Here is a 22,143-nt window from a genome sequence, read left to right as displayed (position 1 = left end):
GAAGCAAGGTGAGCTGAGTTCTAGGCCTAGTTCTCCATTGGCACTGCTGTGTGGCTTGGTTTCTGTCCCTTGCACTCTCTGCATCTTGTTTTCCTTTTCTGTATCAGGAGGAGGTGAGCTTAGTGATCTCAAAGGACACTCCATGCATTGGTGACCCTGTGGCTTTGACTTGGCCCTGGGGGCTGGGCTGTAAAGTCTACCTCAGAGAAGGCCCACTGAGTCTTTAAGATACAGGGTCTCACTCTGTCACCCAGGCTGGAGTGCAGTGCCACAGTCATAGCTCACCGCAGTCTCCGACTCCTTGGGCTCAAGCAATCCTCTCACCTGGGCCTCCCAAAGTTCTGGGATTACAGGCATCAGCCACTGTGCCTGGCTGCCCACTGAGTATTTTTTTTTAAGACAGAGTTTCGCTCTTATTGTCCAGGCTGGAGTGCAGTGGTGTGAGGTTGGCTCACTGCAACCTCCACCTCTCAGGTTCAAGCGATTTTCCTGCCTCACCCTCCCGAGTAGCTGGGATTACAGGCATGCGCCACCACACTTGGCTAATTTTTGTATTTTTAGTAGAGACAGGTTTTCACCATGTTCGCCAGCCTGGTCTCAAACTCCTGACCTCAGGTTATCTGCTCGCTTCTGCCTCCCAAAGTGCTGGGATTACAGGTGTGAGCCACCACACCTGGCCCCTACTGAGTCTTGAATAGGGAAGGTGTAGAGACTGCCACCTAGTAGGGGCGAGGATTTCTCTTCCCCTGGGATTAAGGTCATTTTTGGTTGTCCTTGAAGAAGTCACTCTGAGTGTATATAAGGGATTCCTGGGACAGAGCCAGGGGCTCATTTCCCCGTTTGTTCAGTGAGGGGGTTAGACAAGATGGTTTCTGCTGGACTTTATAGCCCTAAACTGCTGAGGCTGACTGGGTTTAAGGGAGACAGAAGAGAAAGGTGAAGTCTGCATTCCTGGGAATGTGGGAGGCCCTTGGAGGCAGGAGGTAGGGCAGGGGCAGGGGGAGTGGCATGGAGTCAAGGGCTGCCAGAGAAAGACAGAGAGCTCCCCTGTCACAGGGGAGCTGGTGCTGCTTTCAGAGCTAACGACCTGCCTTCAGCTGAGGCCTTGACACTGCCTCCACTCAGAGCCCCTAACCCTGCATCGGAGTCCCTGGGGAAGAGTGGATATTCTGGTAGCCTTTCAGCTTCCATCTGTCGGCTGTTTCACTGCCACCTGCAAACGCAGCTCAGAGTCAACCCTGCTCTCCCAGTCTTGGGGCCCGTGGTGTTTCCACGCCTTCCCTCCAAGAAAAACCCAAACTTTTGTGGATGGCCACCTCCCTGTACGCTCCCTCCCTTCCTCCTGTGTAGGTAGAACAATGCCTGCACCCTGGAACCTGGGGATATTCTATGTTACATGGTAAAAAGGAACTAAGGCCAGGCATGGTGGCTCACACCTGTAATCCTAGCACTTTGGGAGGCCAAGGCGGGCAGATCACTTGAGGTCAGGAGTTTGAGACCAGCCTGGCCAACATAGCAAAATCCCATCTCTATTAAAAATACAAAAATTAGCCAGGCGTGGTAGCACGCGCCTGTGGTACCAGCTACTTGGGAGGCTGAGGCAGGAGAATCGCTTGAACTCAGGAGGTGGAGGTTGCAGTAAGCTGAGATCACGCCACTGCACTCCAGCCTGGGCGACAGAGAGAGACCCTGTCTCAAAAAAAAAAAAAAAAAAAAAAAAAAAGGAGCTAAGGTTGCAGATGGAATTAAGGTTTCCAACCAGTTGGTTTTAAGACAGAGAAATTATCCTGGATTATCCAGTAGACCCAAGGTCATCACAAAAGTCCTTAAAAGTAGAAGGAGGCAGAAGTGATGTGACTTGAGAAGACACAACCACAGTTGCTGGCTTTGAAGATGAAAGAAGAAGGTCATGAGTAAAGGAATGTGGGTGACCTCTGGAAGCTGGAAAAAACAGGAAAACAGTTTCTCCCCTAGAGCCTCTAAAAGACAACACAGCCCTGCTGACACCTTGCTTTTAGCTCACTGAGACCCATGGCAGACTTCGGACCTCCAGAACTGTATGATAGGGCATGGTGGCTCACACCTGTAATCCTGGTACTTTGGGAGACCAAGGCGGGAGCATCACTTGAGCCCAGGAGTTTGAGAAGAGCCTGGGCAACATGGCGAAGTCCCGTCTCTACAGAAAATGTAAAAATTAGCCGGGCATGGTGGTGGCGCGCCTGTGGCCCCAGCTATTCAGGTGGCTGAGGTGGGAGGATAGCTTCAGCCTGGGAGGCAGAGGTTCCAGTGAGCTGAGATCGCGCCACTGCACTCCAGCCTGGGTGACAGAGTGAGACCCTGTCTCTAGAAAGAAAAAAAAAAGGAACTGTGTGAGAGGAAATTCATGTTGATTTGACCCACTAAGTGTGTGGTAACTTGTTACAGCAGCATTAACAATGAAGAAACTAGCATAGCAACCATTTGGTTTTCTTCTGTTGATTCAATTGCAGAAAAGTATAACAACTTTTACTTTAACACTTATAGTACACACACATTTGTAAAAATTGCTTTTGTTTCTTTCTGTCTCTCAACCCAGTGTTCTTGCCTTCTTTTATTTTTGGCTCCAGTGTTGTTTTTTTGTTTTTTGCTCCAGTTTTTTTTTTTTTTGCTCCAGTGTTCTTGCCTTCTATCTGTGTATGTGGAGACAGCATAGTGTGAACGTTGGTTATTTGTTGGTAGTGGGATTTGGAGTGTTTTTTTTTTTAGTTTACATCTTTGTGGCTGGGCGCAGTGGCTCATGCCTGTAATCCCAGATCTTCGGGAGACCAAGGTGGGGCGGATAACCTGAGGTCAGGAGTTTGAGACCAGCCTGGCCAACATGGTGAAACCCCATCTCTACGAAAAATACAAAAATTAGGCTGGGCGCGGTGGCTCATGCCTGTAATCCAAGCACTCTGGGAGGCTGAGGCGGGTGGATCACCTGGGGTCAGGAGTTCAAGACCAGCGTGACCAATACGGTAAAACCCAGTCTCTACTAAAAAAATACAAAAAAACTAGCCAGGCATGGTGGCGTGCACCTCTAATCCCAGCTACTCAGGAGGCTGAGGCAGGAGAATTGCTTCAACCCGGGAGGCAGAGGTTGCGATGAGCCAAGGTCGCGCCACTGCACTCCAGCCTGGGTGACAGAGCGGGACTCTGTCTCAAAAAAAAAAAAAAAAAAAATTAGCCAAGCGTGGTGGCGGGCCCCTGTAATCCCAGCTACTAGGGAGGCTGAGGCAGGAGAATTTCTTGTGGGAGGCAGAGGTTGCAGTGAGCAGAGATCACACCACTTCACTCCAGCAGCCTAAATGACAGAGTGAGACTCCATCTCAACAACAACAACAACAAAAAATTGTTATTTTTTTACCAAAACGATGAGGTCATGATTATGTATTTTCATTGACAAAGCATGTGTTGCTACCCATGTCCACCACTGAGTGAGCAACCTGCCCATACCTGATGAGCTCTTCCCAAAGCAAACCAACACAGCCCAGATGCAGCCAGCTGCCTCCTACTCTTTCCTCATCTCACGCAAATAGATAACATTCATCTCTGGCTGTTATAGACTGAATTTTGTCCCCCTCCAATTCATATGTTAAAGCCCCTAGTACTTCAGAATGTGAGTGTATTTGGAGATAGGGCCTTTAAAGATGTGATTACGTTAAAATGAGGTTGGCAGGGTGGGCTGCAATTCAATCTGTCTTGTGGCCCTTATAAGGAGAGGAGATCAGGACACAAACATGGGTGCACAAGGAGGAAGGACCGTGTGGAGACACGGGGAAGAGGTGGCTGTCTACAAACCAAGGAGACGGGCTTCAGAAGAAACCAACCCTGCTGACACCTTGATCTTTGATTTCCAGCCTCCAGACTGTGAGAAAATAAACTCTGTTGTTTAAGCCACCCAGCCTGTGGTATTCTGTAATGGAAATCTTAGCAAGCGAATACGTTGGCATTATCACCTATTTTGCTCCAAAGAAACAACTTTTGGCGGGGCGCAATGGCTCATGCCAGTAACCCCAGTGCTTTGGGAGGATCTCTTGAGGCCAGGAGTTTGAGACCAGCCTGGCCAACATGGCAAAACCCTGTCTTTACCAAAAATACAAAAAAATTAGCCGGGCATGGTGGCACACGCTTGTAAAAAATAATAATAATAATAAATAAAAACATTAAAATGTGTTATATTCTGAGACAGATGATTTAATTAGTCAAAGATACTTCATTTTCACTGTCTTGTAATCTCCCAACAAACCTGAAACCCTGTGACAAGTCAGAATGGCGCTTATGATTCCCCACTGGGCAGAAGGAAAACTGAGTCCCACGGGGGACACATGACTTGGTCAAAGCTACATAGCTAGAATTCACATTTTCAGACTCCAATCCTGAAGCCTTGAGATCAGGAAGATGTGGAAAGGGAGCCAGGAATTCGGTCTTCTCATCTCTGACATAGTCCATCAAATTGCAGTCTTCTGGAAGAATCACATTGGTGTTTGGTCCAGATCTCTAAGATGGCCCCATCCTATCCTTCAGAGAGCCTTTTATAAGTAATGAAAAGCATACAAGACATTTGTTTAAAAGTTGCTAATGGCCAGGCGTGGTGGCTCATGCCTGTAATCCCAGCACTTTGGGAGGCCAAGGCGGGCGGATCATGAGGTCAGGAGTTCGTGACCAGTCTGGCCAACATGGTGAAACCCTGTCTCTATTAAAAATACAAAAAAAATTAGCCGGACATGATGGTGCACGCTTGTAATCCCAGCTACTTGGGAGGCTGAGGCAGGGGAATTGCTTGAACCAGGGAGGTGGAGGTTGCAGTGAGCCAATATCGTGCCACTGCCCTCCGGCCTGGGCGACAGAGCAAGACTCTGTCTAAAAAAAAAAAAATTTGCTAATATTAATTTTATATATTTTTGCCCTCCTCCCCTTCTTTTACAGACAAGGTCTTCTCTGTCACCCAGGCTGGAGTGCAGCAGTGAAATCATAGCTCACTACAGACTTGAACCCCTGGGCTCAAGTAACAAAAACCATAGAAGACATTTGTTTAACTGTTCCTAATTTTAATTTTACAGATACAAGACCAAACCGGACCCTTCCTGGCTCTTTCCATTAACTCAAGATTAACAGATGTGTTATTTAAACATCCCTACTAATGGGAATATGGATCAATTTTAATTTTTTAAATTTCTAATTTAAAAAAATTTTTGTGGAGACAGGGTCTTGCTATGTTGCCCAGGCCGGTCTCAAACTCCTGGGTTCAAGTGATCCTCCTGCTTCAGCCTCCCAAAGTACTGGGATTACAGGTGTGAGCCACTGTGACTGGCCTCAGTTTTTATTTATTTTTATTTTTATTTTTATTTTTTTGAGACAGAGTCTCACTCTGTCGCCCAGGCTGGAGTGCAGTGGTGCAATCACGGTTCACTGTAACCTCCGCCTCCCAGGTTCAAGCAATTCTCCTGCCTCAGCTTCCTGAATAGCTGGGACTACAGGCTCATCCCACCACGCCCGGCTAATTTTCGTGTTTTTAGTAGAGATGGGGTTTCAACATGTTGACCAGGCTGGTCTTGAACTCCTGGCCTCAGGAGATCCGCCTCTCGGCCTCCCAAAGTGCTGGGATTACAGGTGTGAGACCAGCCTGGCTAACATGGTGAAACCCCACCTCTACGAAAAATACAAAAATTAGCCTGGCGTGGTGACGAACGCCTGTAGTCCCAGCTACTTAGGAGGCTGAGGCAGGAGAATCGCTTGAACCTAGGAGGCAGAGGTTGCAGTGAGCTAAGATCTTATCACTGCACTCCAGCCTGGGCAAGTGAGACTCTGTCAAAAAAAAAAAAAAAAAACAAAAAAGAAAGAAAGAGAAAATATTCACCAGTCGCACCTGGGCTGTACAGCCAGGTGAGAGCTCAGAGAACACGCAGGGCCCTGGGACATCAGGGGAGGTATAAGTGGTTGGAATGGGGGCAGGCCCTATGGAGAAGGGATCAGGACTTGACTGTGAGCCACTGCTCATGTAGGGCATGAAGAATGTGGGAGCTTACTCGGGAGGCTAAGGTGGGAAGATTGCTTGAGCCCGGGAAGTCAAGGATGCAGTGAGCTGATATCTCACCACTGCACTCTAGCCTAAGCGACAGCAAGACTGTCTATAAAAAAAAAAAAAAAAAAAAAAAAAAAGTGGGAACTAGAGACAACTCCCGAGCTGGCATGTGAGTAACACTCACCCCCATCTCTCCCTGACCTTTCTAGGTTTGCAGAGAGCCCAGTTGGCAGGGGAAGGTAAAGAAAGAGGTGGAGATGGAATTAGGGGGTGGCTGCTACCTAAACCGTGTTGCTATCTCGGCTCACTGCGACCTCCGCCTCCCAGGTTCAAGTGATTCTCCTGCCTCTCAGCCTCCCGAGTAGCTGGGATTACAGGCGTGTGCTGCCTGGCTAATTTTTGTATTTTAGTAGAGACGGGGTTTTGCCGTGTTGGCCAGGCTGGTTTGGGACACATGACCTCAAGCGATCCTTCCACCTCGGCTTACCAAACTGCTGGGATTACAGGTGTGAGCCACCGCATCCGGCCGCATTTGAAATTATTTAGGAAAATTTAAAGATATGCATCCCTGGTGACCCAGAAATTCCATCCCTCCATGTACACTAAGAGAAGGGACAAGCAAATCAGGAAGTATACTCAATTATCACTAGGTGATACGCTCAGTCCTGAAACTCAGCCAATTAGCAATGGACCCCATGAAAGTCAGCCAAAGTCAGCCAATCAGTGACAGCCCCACCCTTCTACACAACAGCCAATCAGCGAGCAATCCTTCCTGTCGCCGCCATTTTAAAGTTGCACCTCGATAGCAGCCTTACTGCCGTGAGTAGAGGAACATGCTAGAAAGCCCCATGGCCTGCCTCTCCAGCCTCCCGCTTCTCAATGTGTGCCCATCACTGAAGACCTGGCTTCCCAAAACTTTCCCAAAGGTCTGGCTTTGTTCCGGAATATATCGTCTGACAAGTACAGCTCTCCCTCACAAGTAAGCACAAAATTGGCTTTATTTGCATTGAATATCCAGTACAATTTGTGGTAAATTCACGAGTTCTTAGGATTTGTTTATGCATAACGACGTGTAACAGAGCACTGTGAGATGATCAAATTCAATCTTTTCAGTTCTTGGGGTTGCTAGAATCTGTTTTTTGTGTTTATTTAACTCTCCAACTGCTAAAATGTAGGTATAAATTTCGTGATAAATTTTCTGAACAGTAGACATATGTTAACGAGAAAAAAGTCCTTTTGAAGCTCTTTGAGTACTATCCAATGGTTCATTCAATATCAAAAATAGTAGAAAGTCAGATACAAACCAATACAGTCTAGTTAAGTATAAAGGACATACGATTTCCTCAACTCACGCCAAAGAAACTGATAAAATAATAAATTTTTGGCCAGGCGCAGTGGCTCACACCTGTAATCCCAGCATTCTGGGAGGCCGAGGCGGGATCACTTGAGCTCAGGAGTTCCAGACCAGCCTGGTTACCGTAGTGAAACCCTGTCTCTCCAAAATTACAAAAAATTAGCCGGGTGTGGTGGTGCACACCTTTATTCCCAGCTACTTGGGAGGCTGAGGTGGGAGAATTGCTTGAGTGCAGGAGGTTGACGCTGCAGTGAGCCATGATCACGCTGTTGCACTCCAGCCTGGGCAACAGAGCACGATCCTGTCTCTAAATAAATAAATAATTTTTTTTGAAAAGAAAAAGACCTTTAATTAGGCTATTTCGAGTAAAATCCCTTTCAGTTGAGATTTCAGAAAGAACAGAAAATTTTTGCAGAGACTCTTATTAAATTTGGATCTTATGAGAAAAATGTGCTGCTTTTGGTGCTAGAGACTTTGAATTTTATTGTTTTTTTCCAAGAACTGGCATTTGGTTCCATTAATTTTCCCTTCCCCTTTCCCCTTTCGAGTCTCACTCTGTTGCCCAGGCTGGAGTGCAGTGGCACTGTGTTGGCTCACTGCAACCTCCGTCTCCTGCGTTCAAGCAGTTCTCCTGCCTCAGCCTCCTGAGTAGCTGGGACTACAGGCACCCACCACCACACCCAGCTATTTTTATATTTTTAGTAGAGATAGGGTTTCACCATGTTGGCCAGGCTGGTCTCGAACTCCTGACCTCAGGTGATCTGCCCACCTCGGTGTCCCAAAGTGCTGGGATTACAGGTGTGAGCCATGGTGCCCGGCCTCCATTGATTTTCTCTATTGTTTTTGCTTTCAATTTCATTGATTTCTGCTCTTATATTTTTATTTTTTATTGATTTTGAGACAGGATCTGACTCTGCCACCCAGGCTGGTGTGCAGTGACACGATCTTGGTTCACTGCAACCTCCACCTCCCAGGCTCAACTGATCCCCACTGCTCAGCCTCCCTGGTAGCTAGGCTACAGGCACATGCCACCACACCTGGCTAATTTCTTTTTTTTTTTTTTTTTTGAGACGAAGTCTTGCTCTGCCTCCCAGGCTGGAGTGCAGTGGCCCAACCTTAGCTCACTGCAACCTCTGCCTCCCAGGCTCAAGCAATTCTCGTGCCTCAGCCTCTCGAGTAGCTGGGACTACAGGCATGTGCCACCAAACCCGGCTAAATTTTTGTATTTTTTTTTTTTTTGAGATGGAGTCTCACTGTTGTCGAGTCCGGACTGGAGTGCAATGGCGTGATCTCAGCTTCACTGCAACCTTTGCCTCCCAGGTTCCAGCAATTCTCCTGCCTCAGCCTCCTGAGTAGCTGAGATTATAGGTGTCAGTTTTTTGTATTTTTAGTAGAGACGGGTTTTCACCGTGTTGGCCAGGCTGGTCTCCAATGTCTGACCTCTGGTGATTCGCCCACATTGGCCTCCCAAAGTGCTGGGATTACAGGTGTGCACCACAGCGCCCAGCCTGGCCGCCCTTATCTTTATTATTTTATTCCTTCAGGTGTAATTTTTAGACTTTTCTAAATTGGAAATTCAGATAATTGATTTGAGACCTTTCTTTTCTCATGTAAGCATTTTAATGCCATCAATTTTCTTCTGATCACTACTCTAGCTGTATCCCATAGATTTTGATTTGTTGTATTTTCTCATTTTTTTCAATTCACAATAGATCTTTAATTTCCCTTTGGATTTTCTCTTTGGCTCATGGGTTAAAGTGTTTTGTGGCTGGGTGGGGTGGCTCATGCCTGTAATCCTAGCACTTTGGGAGGCTGAGGCAGGTGGATCACCTGAGGTCAAGAGTTTGAGACCAGCCTGGCCAACATGGTGAAACCTTGCCTCTACTAAAAATACAAAAACTAGGCAGACGTGGTGGCAGGCGCCTGTAATCCCAGCTACTGGGGACGCTGAGGCAGGAGAATTGCTTGAACCCAGGAGGCGGAGGTTGCAGTGAGCCGAGATCATGCCACTGCACTCCAGCCTGGGCAACAGAGCAAAAACTCTGTCTCAAAAACAGAAAAAAAAGTGTTTTGTTTAATTTACAAGTATTTTTGGATTTTTCAGATACATTTCTGTTATTGATTTCTAGTTTAATTCCACTATGGTAAAAGAATATATTTTCTGTGATTTCTGAGCTGTTTGTGTATAAGATCTCAGAACACTTTTCAGGGCTGGTTCTCAGGTTATGAGGCCATTCTTTGAGCATTTTTTCCCACTTGCTTTGCCTCCATTAACAGCATGTCCTTTAGGTGGTCTCTCCAGGCAGTACAGGTGGGTCACCTTCATTTTGTTTGTGTCCAGGCCTCTGAATTGTTTTGTGGTCTACGTGGAGTTATGTGGTCTCATGGTGGGCATGGTGGCTCACGCCTGTAATCCCAGTACATTGGAAGGCCCAGGCCAGTGGATTGCTTGAGCCTAGGATTCGAGACCAGCCTGGGCAACATGGTGAAACCCCGTCTCTAGAAAAAAATACAAAAATTAGTCGGGTGTGGTGGCCTGCTTCAGTAGTCCCAGCTACTGGGGAGGTTGAGGTGGGAGGATTGCTTGAGCTGGGGAGGCGGAGGTTGCGGTGAGCTGTGATCACGCCACTGCACCCCAGCCTGGGTGACAGAGTGAGACCCTGCAAAAAGAGTATGTGGTCTCTGTCCAGATTTAATCTATATCCCAGGTGGTGAGGTCTCCGAGCTGTTTTGGAGTCTGCGTCCAGGATATGAGGTATGTAAGGTGTTTGGGATTTGTTTTCCCAGCGTGCAACGTCCCTGAGGTGTTTCGGCCTTTGTGTCCCAGGGTGAGGTCTCTGAAATGTTTGTAGGATTTTGTGACGAGGATGAGACCTATGAAATGACTGGGAATCTATTAAGATATGTTCCATTATTGAGTTCTCTAATTTTGTTTTGTGGTCTGTGTTCAGTGTGAGTTCCCTGAACTGTTTTGGACTCTGTATCCCACGGTGTGAGATCTCTGAGCTCTTTTGTGCTCTGTGTGCAATGATGTGAACTCCCTGAGCTATCTGGGTGTTTCCAGTAATGAGGTCTCATTCTGTTTCACAGCCAGCTGGTACTCTATGGTATAATCGCCTTTAAGCATTTGCCGTTTTCTCCCTTAGTTGTTTGCTCCTTCCATTCTTGTGCACACAGGACTGTGCACGTATGTATGATTATTTCCTTAGAACACATACTTAAAAGTGAAACTGCCACGCCAAAGGAGTCATTTATTCAACAAATCCCCTTTTGAGCACCTACTGTGTGCAGGGCAGTTTCAGGCAGAGACTTTGGGGGGTCTAGAAATACACATATCCCTCCCTACCTTCGTGGTGGTGACATTCCAGTAAGGAGGGGTGTCTGCTTTTTATTTTGATAAATGCTGCCACACAAAGGCAGACTTCCATCAGTGGCCTCGGGAATGAATGCCCATTAATGGGCGGTGGCTCTGCAGCAAGGGTTTGGACGCTTGGGCCTTTGCTCTCAAACGAATCATCAGGGTATGGGGCAGGGACAGTGCTCTGGGGGACGTCGGTTGGGGGAGACAGGGCTGGAACGTGGGCAGGAGGAAGGCATGAAAGAGTCCATTTAGTTCTTTTGCGGTGAACTGAAGATTGATTCACTTGACACTGACATGAAAGAGTCCTTGTCGCACACACAAGGGGAGCGTGAGCGGTGGGAATGAAGGGTTAACGACTAGACTGTGCAGCTCCAGGACCATACCACTACGGTCATGGGAGGTACCACAGGGGAGGGGTCGTGTATTTCGGAAGATACCATTGTACTAGTGGAGACACGAAAGGTCTCCTCATCCCGCGAGTGGATCGGCCTCCACCCTAGACCGAGGAGAGAATGGCTCTGCCTGGACCGACCCCCGCGCCGGGCGGACCCGATCTTCGGCCTAAAGCGTCCACCTGTCTGGAAGCCGCCGCCACCAAGCTTTTATTAATATATCCGTTCCCGCCGGGTTGGCTATACAGATGCGAATCAACTCCGGGGGTGGGGTGAGGAGGAAGGCCGCGGAGCGGCGATTGCTTCCTGGACGAGTTGCGTAGGGCGGGACAAAGTCTTGCCCTGAGCTCTGATTGGTCACCGCGAGACTGCCTACCTAAGCTCTTCCAGGGTACCGAGGTTTTCCGGAATCACTAAGAGGCTACAGGCCGGGTCCTTCGGCTCCGCGTTCCTATTGGCTGCTGTTTCGGCGCAAGCGCTTTGGCTCCTGGGTTGGCGTTCAGGGTTGCCGAGGCAGGGCTTTGGCTACTGGAGATCGTAGGTTCGAATCCCGTCTGGGAAGTTCAACTTGTGCACCTGTAAAAGAAGCTGGCATTATTGGCTTGTACTCAAGGGCTGGCACAGAGTGTGTCGGGTAATCTTTTCCATTTTCTTTTACCTATTCTTTCTTTTTTTAAGCAATGCCTATTGCATCCCATTATATTGATTTCAGGACCCACTCACCGTTCACAACAGCACTAAGAAAAATTCTTCAGGGTCCCTGGCATTTGTCTTTCAGGCTACCTGTAGGTCTGAGTCCAGCAGATAAGATTCAAGGTGATCTCATGATCCTCCTCCAGGCCAGCCCCCATCTCCCAGAAGAGGGTGATTTGGAGGCTTCCCTCAGGACCAGGCCTGACTAGGAGTGTGATGGGGTGGGCTATAAGTGATTAAAAGAGAGATGCATGGTTTCACGCTCTGGGATGCTGAAGAGCTTGTGGCAACTACAAGGAGAATTTTGGAAGGTGGGGGCAAGACTTAAAAGAGTACGCTTTTAAATGATGGGATTTTAAACATCAGACAGGGGAGGTGTTTGGCTGGTGAGGTAGGTAGGTAGTAGGAAGAAAGTGATTCTCAAGTCAAGTCAGCTCATCATAGGGTAGTTATTACACTCTGCAGTTTGGAGGACTGTGTGCAGGATGTGAAGTCTGATTTGTTTTGGAATCTCAGTTCAGGGTATGACTTATAAAAAGACTGTGAAGTCTCTTTGCTGTTTGAAAATCTGTGTCTCAGAGGTTTAGGTGTTTGAGATCTTTGTGGGTCTCTGTCCCAGGGTTGGTTTCTTTTTTCTTTCTTTTTTTTTTGTTTTTTTTTGTTTTTCTTTTCTGTTTTTCTGTTTACGTTGGTCCAGAATGTCCCAAGGTTTCTAAGCTGTTTATGGATCTTTGTCCCCGGATGTGCAGAGTTTTTTTTTCTTTTCTTTTTTTGTGTGTCTTTACTTTTATTTATTTATTTTTGAGACAGGATCTTGCTCTGTCACCCAGGCTGGAGTGCAGTGGTGTGATCTCGGCTCACTGCAGCCTCAACTTGCCAATCTCAGGTGATTCTCTCACCTCAGCCTCCTGAGTAGCTGGGACTACAGACACGTGCCACCACACCCGGCTAACTTTCTTTATTTTTTGTGGAGGTGGGATTTTACTATGTTGCCCAGGCCTTTTTGTATGTTTTTAGGGGCAGGGTCTCTCTCTGTTGCCCAGGCTGGAGTGCAGTGGTGCAATCATGGCTCACTTCAGCCTCGACCTCTGGCTCAAACAATCCTCCCACCTTAGCCTCCTGAGTAGCTGGGACCACAGGTGCGTACCACCACACTTGGCCCGGCTATTTTTTTTTTTTCTTGTAGGCTGGGCACGGTGGCTCACACCTGTAATCCCAGCACTTTGGGAGGCCAAAGTGGGTGGATCCCTTGAGCCCAGGAGTTCGAGACCAGCCTGGCCAACATGGTGAAACCCTATCTCTACAAAAAAAAAAAAATTAGCCGGGTATGGTGACACGTGTCTGTTGTCCCCAGCTACTCAGGAGGTCAAGGCTGCAGTGAACTGTGATCTCACCACAGCACTCCAGCCTGGGCAACAGAGCAAGACCCTGTCCCAAAATAATTTTTTTTGCGTGTGGAGACAGGGTCTCCCTCTGTTTCCTAGGCTGGTCTCAAACTCCTGGGCTCAAATGATACTCCTGACTCAGCCTCTCAAAGTGTTGGGATTACAGATGTGAGCCACCACACTCAGCCTTTTTTTTTTTTTCTTAAAATTGATTTTCATTTTTCTTTTATTGGCATTTCTGTGACTGCTAGAAGGGCTTAACATTGTTTTCTGTGCTTGTTGGCAAGATGTATCTAAGTTTTGTTTTGTTTTGTTTTGAGACAGGGTCTCACTATGTTGCCCAGGCTGAGTACAGTGGCATGCACATGGCTCACTGCAGCCTCGACCTCCTGGGCTCAAGCAGTCCTCCCACCTCAGCCTCCTGATCTTGAGTAGCTGAGACCACAGGCATGTGCCACCACACTCCACTAATTTTTTTATTTTTTGTAAAGACCACGTCTCACCATGTTGCCCAGGCTGGTCACGAACTCCTGGACTCCTGTCTTACCCTCCCAAAGTGCTGGGATTACAGGCATGAGCCACTGCACTTGGCCTTATTTAAGTTTTCTAAATTCCCTTTTACGTCCTGTGATCATTTTTGTTAAAATTTTTATTTTATTTTATTTTTTGGACACAGGGTCTTGCTTTGTCACCCAGGCTGGAGTGTACTGGCGTGATCATGGCTCACTGCAGCATCGACCTCCTGGGCTCAAGCAATCCTCCCACCTCAGCCTCCCAAGTAGCTGGGAATACAGGTGTGTACCACCACCCTTGGCTAATTTTTGTATTTTTGTAGAGAAGGGGTTTCACCATATTGCCCAGGCCGGTCTCCAACTTCTGAGCTCAAGCGATCTACCCACCTCAGCCTCTGAAAGTGCTGGGATTACAGATGTGAGCCACTGCGTCCAGCCTTTAACATTTTTTAAATTTTAAAAGCATTTTAGACTTAAAAAAATTATAAAAATAGTGCAGAGAGTTCTTATATACTCTTTTTCTCCTAATGCTTACTTATATAATCTTAGTACAATTTTTAAAATCAGGAAATGAATGACACGGTTATTTATGAGCTGTTGTTCACCGGTTTGTGTCCAGGGTGTGAAATATCTGAGCTCTTTGGACCCAGAGCTCTCTTGGGTTTTGTGTCTCATGATGTGATGTCTCTGAACATTTGGTATATGTTTTTAGATGCTAGGTCTTTCGTCATCTTGGTAGTCTTTGTCCCAGAGTATGATGTCTTTGACCTGTTAGTAGTCTCTTTAGGCTTGTCTTCTCTGGGCTGTATGGGCTTCCATGTTCAAGGTGTGAGGTTTCTGAGCACTTTGAAGGACTATGTTCAAAGATGTGTATACTGTCAGCTGGTTTTTATTGTCTTCTATCAGAGATAATGAGGTCAATAAAAACTTTTCGGTTCTGTATCCAGGGCAGGGTTCCTCAGCCTTGGGACTGTTGACATTTTGGACCAGAAAATTCTTTGTTATGGAGGGCTGTTCTGTGCATTGTAGGGTCTATTGTATTTGTTTACTAGGGCTGCTGTCATGACAAAGTACCACAATCTGGGTAACTTAAATAGCAGAAATGTATTGTCTCACAATTCTGGAGGCTGGAAGTGTGAGATCAAGATGTTGGCAGGGTTGGTTCCTTTGGGGCCTATGAGGGGAATGTGTGCCCTGCATCTTTCCTAGCTTCTCATGCCTGCTGGCAATCTTTGCTGTTCCCTGGTGTCTGCTGCATCACCCCATCTCTGCTTTCATCTTTACCTTGCATTCTCCCTGTGTGTCTTGTGTCCAAATTTCCGCTTTTTATAAAGACACCAGTGGCGCAGGATTAGGGGCCCACTCTACTCCAGCATGATCTCTAACTTAACTAATTACATCTGCAACAACCCTATTTCCAAATAAGGTCACATTCTGAGGTACTGGGGTTTAGGACTTCAACGTAGGAATTTTGAGGGGACATAATTTCACCCATAAGAGACGTTTAGCATGAGAGAAAAAGGGAGGGAAGAAGGGAGCAGCCTCTGACACCCAGAAGCAGGCCCGGCCCCCATAGGTAGGCCATGTTATTCTCCTAACGGACGTGAACAATCTCACAGAATACCAGCGTCAGGTAAGGTTAGTCTGAGACCATGATAAAATCGACAGAGCTTGGCCGGATGAGGTGGCTCACGCCTGTAATACTAGCACTTTGGGGGGTTGAGGTGGGCCGATCGCTTGAGCTCAGGAGTTCGAGACCAGCCTGGACAACATGGTGAAACCCCGTCTCTACAAAAAATACAAAAATTAGTCGGGCATGGTGGTGGGTGCCTGTAATCCCAGCTACTTGAGGGACTGAGGCCAGAGGATTGCTTGAACCCAGGCATTTGAGGTTGCAGTGAGCCGAGATCATGCCACACTGCACTACAGCCTGGGGATAAAGTGAGAACTTGTCTCAAAAAAATAATAAAATAGGCCGGGTGCAGTGGCTTACGCCTGTAATCCCAGCACTTTGGCAGGCCGAGGCGGGCAGATCACGAGGTCAGGAGATCGAGACCATCCTGGCTAACACGGTGAAACCCCGCCTCTACTAAAAATACAAAAAATTAGCCGAGCGTGGTAGCGGGCACCTGTAGTCCCAGCTACTCGGGAGGCTGAGGCAGGAGAATGGCGTGAACCCGGGAGGCAGAGCTTGCAGTGAGCCAAGATCGCGCCACTGCACTCCAGCCTGGGTGACGGAGCGAGACTGTGTCTCAAAATAAAAATAATAATAATAATAATAATAATAAAATAATAAAATAGAGCACAGCCACTTTATAATGTTGTTTAAGCACAAACAAAAATAAGGATTCACTGTGTTGCCCATAAAATACTAAACATTCTCCTCTCTTGGTTAAAATGAGTGACTGCCACTTCCTTACCAATGACAGCGTTAGCCTCACTCTAGTCTGCCCTCCCTATAGATAAGATTTATTGAAATACCCAATTGTAAAATTGCCCTTGTTTTCTGACAGCATCTAATCTAGAGTGAGCCCCCACTTCCTTAGACCCTACCCCCAAATCACTCAATCAAACCCGACCACCCCACACTTCCCCATGGAGTGCGTTCTCCCTCACTGCAATGAGTAATCATCCCAACTTGTTCCACTACAGGTATGTTCCTGGGTGGGGCGGGGGTCTTTGGCTAAAGGACACTGGCAAGCTGTATCCCTGGCTTCAACTCACAGATGACAGTAGCACGCCCGCAACACATATTTGTGACAGCCAAAATGTCCTTAGATATTGCCAAATGTTCTTTGCGGGGCAGAATCGCCTCTGGTTGAGAACCACTGGTCTGTGGGGTATGAAGCGTTTGAACAATTTAGGGGTCTTTGTCTGAGGTTTATGTTCTCTGAGAGGTGTTTGGGTCTGTGTCTCAGAGTGTGAGGTCTGTGGTCTGTATTACGGTTTCTGTTCCAAGGTTTGAAAGCTCTGAGCTCTTTCGGGGTGCTATATCAGGAATTAGTGACCTTTTCACATACCAAATCCAGACATGAGGTATGTGTGACATCTCCTTTTCCCTCTGCCTGGACCATATGCCAGTTCAGAAAGGCAGTGAGGGTTGGGTGTGGTGGCTCACGCCTATAATCCCAGCATTTGGGAGGCCAAGGTGGGTGGATCACTTGAGGTCAGGAGTTTGAGACCAGCCTGGCCAACATGACAAAACCCCGTCTCTACTAAAAATACAAAAATTAGCCGGGTATGGTGGTGCATGCCTGTAATCCCAACTACTTGGGAGGCTGAGGTTGCAGTGAGCCGAGATCGCACCACTGCACTCCTGGGCGACAGACCAAGACTCTGTCTCCAAAATAAAGAAAAAGAAAAAGAAAGGTGGTGAGAAGTAGGAACCCCACAATTGGTTGTGAACTCCTCCAGTACACATTAGGATCGGGATTCACAGCAATCCCAGCCTCTTTGTCTAGACCAGCAGGCTTCCCTGGGCCACATTGGAAGAATAATTGTCTTGGGCCACACATAAAATAGCTAACACTAACGATAGCTGATGAGCTAAAAAAAAAAAATCGCCAAAACATCTCATAATGTTTTAAGAAAGTTTACGAATTTGTGTTGGGCCACATTCAAAGCCGTCCTGGGCTGCATGTGGCCCATGGGCCTTGGGTTGGACAAGCTTGGCCTAGACCATAAAGTATAAATTACCAACTTCCTTCAGAACCTATCTCGCCCTCTGTTCTGGAGGGCACAGTTTCCCTTGACACTGTTTGTGGAGATTGTGTTGTAGGGAGATGTTTGTTCTGTGTCTCCTGACATCAGCCACTGAGTGGGGACCCCCATCTCTCAGGATGGACGTTGCTCAGATGGATGTTGGAGTCCATCTCCCCTTAGGCTTTGATCACACTGATGATAACCCAGAACACATGGACTTTGGAGCCTGATAGACCCTCTTTCAAAGCCTGGAACCCCCAAGTCCTGGTTGGATGGTAGGAGAGTCTAGCGTTTTGGATCATCTAAACCTTGAGCTGCTGAGGTTTTTACAAGACTGGTAAGAATCGGTAGGACAATGCACAGTCCACACACGCTCTCCTGATTTCAGTCCCTTCCCCCTAATCCCACACCCCTTCTGAAAGTAGAATTCAGGGCTGGGGGAAGGGAAGCAAGCAATCCATATAAATGCCAGGGGCCAGTGTGGGCTTGGGACTGTCTCAGTTGGAACTTAGGAATCATGTGCACATGTTGTTTAATGTAAATGTATGTTGGGTTTAAGAAAGAGTAAACACTCCCCAGAATTGTGTCTTCATCTCTAGTAAATCCACAGTTTTACTTCAGTTGTTCTCTTGAGAACATGCATAATAGATTGTGCACCATGAGGCAAGGATGCACAGTGAGAAAAAACTTTGTTCCTCTTCTGAAAACTGTGCTTATGAGACGGGTTTATACATTTATGTGAGAGGCAGGGTATGAGCTCCAGAGAAAGACTTTAGGGGAGGATGCAGGGCCCCAGTAGCTCAAAGTAGTCTCAAGAGAAATAAAAAATAGTTTGGACTAAATGAAAATCAAAATAAAACTTACCAAATTTGTGGGATGCAGCAAAGCAGTACTTACCTAGAGGGAAATTTAAAAGGCACTTATGGCTTCTGCTGTACTTTTTCTTGGATCACTGACTAGTAGAAGCCAGCCATCATTCGAGGATGCTCAAGCAGCCAAAAGCCGGTAAATTTGGGGGTTATTTTTTATGTGGCAATAGATAACTCATAAGAGGTGTTTCTGAGCTCTTTGATGGTCTGTCTGGAGTTCGAGACTTTGGAGCTTTTTCGTGGTCTGTATCCATGCCATGATGTCTGGGTCTTTTGGGCATTCTATGTTTCGCATTTTTAAGTGACCTTTTGGGGTTCTCTCTCTAGGTTTTTAGATCTCTGAATTATTTGGGAATCTATGTCCCAAAGCATGGGGATTCTGGGCTGTTTTTTTCTGTTCATGTTCAGAACGTGATCAAGTCCAGAATTTGAATTATCTGAGCTCTCTGGCAGTCTGTTCTGGGTATGAGGTCACTGGGGTGTTTGGCAGTCTGTGTCCCAGGTTCACATCCATGCACTCTTTGGAGGACGGTGTATTGTTTCTGTTTATTCTTTGAGGTATATGGATTTCTAAGTCCCAGGAAGAGACATCACCAAGGTGACTGGATTCTGCATCCAGAACACTAGGTGTCAGCTGTTTGGGCCACTGAGTCCCTGGATATGAAGTCTTTAATGTGTTTGAGAACCTGTGTCCCGACTTTGATATTTCTGAGTTTGAGGGCAGAGGGAATCAGTACTCTGCACTGTTTATGAGTATATATCTCAGGATGTAAGGCTCCCAAACTGTTTGTGAGTATCCCTGACATTTATGTCACAGTATATGAGATCTCTGTTCATGGGTGTATATACCAGGGTGTAAGGTATCTGAGCCCTTTGATCGTGTGTGTCCAAAGTTGTGGGGTCTCTAATCTGTTTGAGTCTATATTTCCCAGAATAAGAGATTTCTGATTTTTTTGTGGGTATATATTCCAAGATGTGAGTTCTGTGATCCATTTGGAAGTATATTTGAGGTTTCCGTTCTGTTTGTGGGTATATGTCCAATGGTGTAAGGTTTCCAATGTGCTTGTGAGTATTCATCCCAGGGTATGAGGCCTCTGATCTGCTTGTCATTATACAATGACAAGATGTGAGGTCTCTCTTCATGAATGCATGTCAAGGGTTTGAGGTCTCTGATCTGTTTTTGGTTTTATGTCCCGGAATGTTAGATCTCTGATCTCTTTGTGGGTGTATGTGCCAAGGTGTGAGTCTCAGCTTTTTGTGGCTATATTTCCCTAGATGTTATATTTCTGAGCTTTTCTGGTTGTATTTTTTTAGGGATGTCAGTACTTTAATCTGTTTATTTGGTGTGTGTTGGAGAATATGAGGACTATTCTGTCTGAGGGTGTATGTCCTAGGGCATGAGGTCTCTGCTATGACTGTGGGTGTACATCTCTGGGTATGAGGTCTCCAAAATGTTTGTGGGTATATTTCCCAGGATGTGAGTTCCCTGAGCTCCTAGTGGGTGCATGTAAGGTCTCAGATCTGTTTATCCCTGTATATGTTCCTGTATATGTGAAGTGTCAAGGGTATGAAGTCTCTGATATTTTTGTGGCTATATGTTCCAGGATATGAGGTTTCTAATCTGTTTGGGGGTGGATTGCTCAGAGTGAGTTCTCAAGTATGTTTGTGGTTATATGAGCTAGGATTTAAGTATCTGATCTTTTTGGGTGTGTAAGTCCCATGGTGTGAAGTCTCTGAGCTCTTTGATGGTATATATGCAGAGGTGTGAGATGTCTGATTTGTTTGGTGGTATATTTCCCAGGATGTGAGGTCTCTGATCCATTTGTTGCTGTATACTAGTATGTGATTTTCATTGGTGTATGTCAAAGTCAGTTTGTTGGTGTATTTCTCAGGATATGAGGTCTCTGGTCTGTTTCTGGATGTATGTTCCCAAGTAAGAAGTCTCTGATCCATGTGCCCACATATGTCTCTGTATGTAAGGTCTCTGATCTGTTCATGGATACACTGAGTTTGAGATCTTTCATCTGGTTGCAGGACAGGCAAGCCCCAAAGTTGAGGCTTAGCTCAGGAGGGTTCTTGGCTTTGCCTAGGAAGGAATTCAAGAGTGAGCTGGTGGTGTTAAATAGCAGCTTTTATTGAAGCGGCAGTGTATAGCAGGAGCAGATGTGCTGCTCCTTGCAGAGAAGAGCTACCCATAGGCAGTATGCCCAAAGTAGCAGCTCAGAGGCCGTTCTGCAGTCATATTTATGCCCACCTTTTAGTTACATGCAAATTAAGGGATGGTTTATGCAGAAATTTTAGGTATCTGGGCTATTTCTGCAAGTATGTCCCAGGATGTGAGGTTGAGGTCTCTGACATGTTTGTAGATGTATTTACTAGAATAGAAGATCTCTGACATGTTTGTGGATGTATGTCCCAGTGTGTGAGGTCACTGATCTGATCTGTGTTTGTGCATGTATGTCCCAGGATTTTAGGTCTGTGATGTGTTTGTCATTGTAATTATCAGTATGTGAAGCATCTTTCATGGGTATATGCTAAGAATAGAAGTTCTCTGATATGATTGTGATTGTATGAACCTAGGTATGAGTTCTCTTATCTGTTTGTGGAGTATGTCCCACAGTGAGAGGTTCCTGAGCTGGTTGGGGGTTTATTTACTAGGATATAAGGCTTATGACCTTTTTCTTGTTGTGTGTGAGGTCCGTGGCTATCGTTGTATCATTGTGTATCCTGGTATGTGAGATCTTTTTCATGGGTGCATGTAAAAAATGTAAGGTCTCTGATCTATTTGTGATTATATGTCCCTGCATATTAGGTCTCTGATCAGTTTGTGGATTTAATTCCTACAGTTTGGCATCATCAATCTGTTTGCAGGTGTATGTCCCATGATGTAATGTCTGATCTTTTCGAGGATGTGTGAGGTATTTCATCTATTCCTCAGTGTGTTTCCAAACATGAGGTCTCTCAACTGTGTGACAGTGTATGTTCTGTGATTTGAGGCCCCTATTTTTTTTTTACAGGTTTATTCCCAAGGATATGAACTCTCCTGTCTCTTTTGGGTGGTATGTCACAATTTGAGAGGACTGATTCATTTCTGAGTTGATTTCCCAGTATGTGAAGTCTCTGATCTGTTTGTGGTATATACTGCAGAATTTAATTTTTATTTATTTATTTATTTATTTAAGATGGCGTCTCGCTCTGTCGCCCAGGCTGGAGTGCAGTGGCGCGATCTCGACTCACTGCAGCCTCTGCCTTCTGGGTTCAAGCGATTCTCCTGCCTCAGCCTCCTGTGTAGCTGGGATTACAAGCATGCACCACCATACCCGGCCAATTTTTGTATTGTTAGTAGAGACGGGCATGTTTGTGCATGTTGACCAGGCTGGTCTTGAGCGCCTGATCTCAAGTAATCTTCCTGCCTCAGCCTCCCTTTTAAAATGCTGGGATTACAGGTGTGAGCCACCGCACCCAGCCTTAGTTCTTTATGCATATACATACCAAGCTTTGAGGACTCTCACATGTTTCTATATATGTTCTGGATGTACCTAATATAATCTGTTTAGTTGTGAATGTCCAGCGTGTGGGGTTTCAAAGAGCCCGTAGTGAATGTATATCTTTTGGTCTGAATCCTCTGATCTCTTTGTGGGTACATGTGGGTTCCTGTTCCTGGATATGAGCTCTATGATCTCTTTGTGGGTGTATGTCACAGGTTATGAGATCTATGATCTATTTCTGACTTTTTTTCATAGCATGTCTGGTTTCTGATGTGCTTGTAAGTGTATGTTGCAGAATTTAGGATCCCTGGTCATATATAGTCTCTGATGTGTTTTGGAGTATA

The 22,143-nt window shown here is 46.3% G+C and overlaps 3 annotated features.

Annotated features, from left to right (window-relative positions):
- Positions 11,042-11,091: an enhancer, noted in NCBI's record as "active region_29611". NCBI's record gives its function as "activates an Ori minimal core promoter by ATAC-STARR-seq in GM12878 lymphoblastoid cells {active_cell/tissue: GM12878}" and the evidence as "EXISTENCE:reporter gene assay evidence [ECO:0000049][PMID:35858748]".
- Positions 11,142-11,401: an enhancer, noted in NCBI's record as "active region_29610". NCBI's record gives its function as "activates an Ori minimal core promoter by ATAC-STARR-seq in GM12878 lymphoblastoid cells {active_cell/tissue: GM12878}" and the evidence as "EXISTENCE:reporter gene assay evidence [ECO:0000049][PMID:35858748]".
- Positions 11,592-11,721: an enhancer, noted in NCBI's record as "active region_29609". NCBI's record gives its function as "activates an Ori minimal core promoter by ATAC-STARR-seq in GM12878 lymphoblastoid cells {active_cell/tissue: GM12878}" and the evidence as "EXISTENCE:reporter gene assay evidence [ECO:0000049][PMID:35858748]".

The sequence above is a fragment of the Homo sapiens genome, chromosome X, assembly GCF_000001405.40.
Source record: "Homo sapiens chromosome X, GRCh38.p14 Primary Assembly".
Taxonomy (NCBI): Eukaryota; Metazoa; Chordata; class Mammalia; order Primates; family Hominidae; genus Homo; species Homo sapiens.
This window is presented reverse-complemented; position numbering and strand designations above follow the sequence as displayed.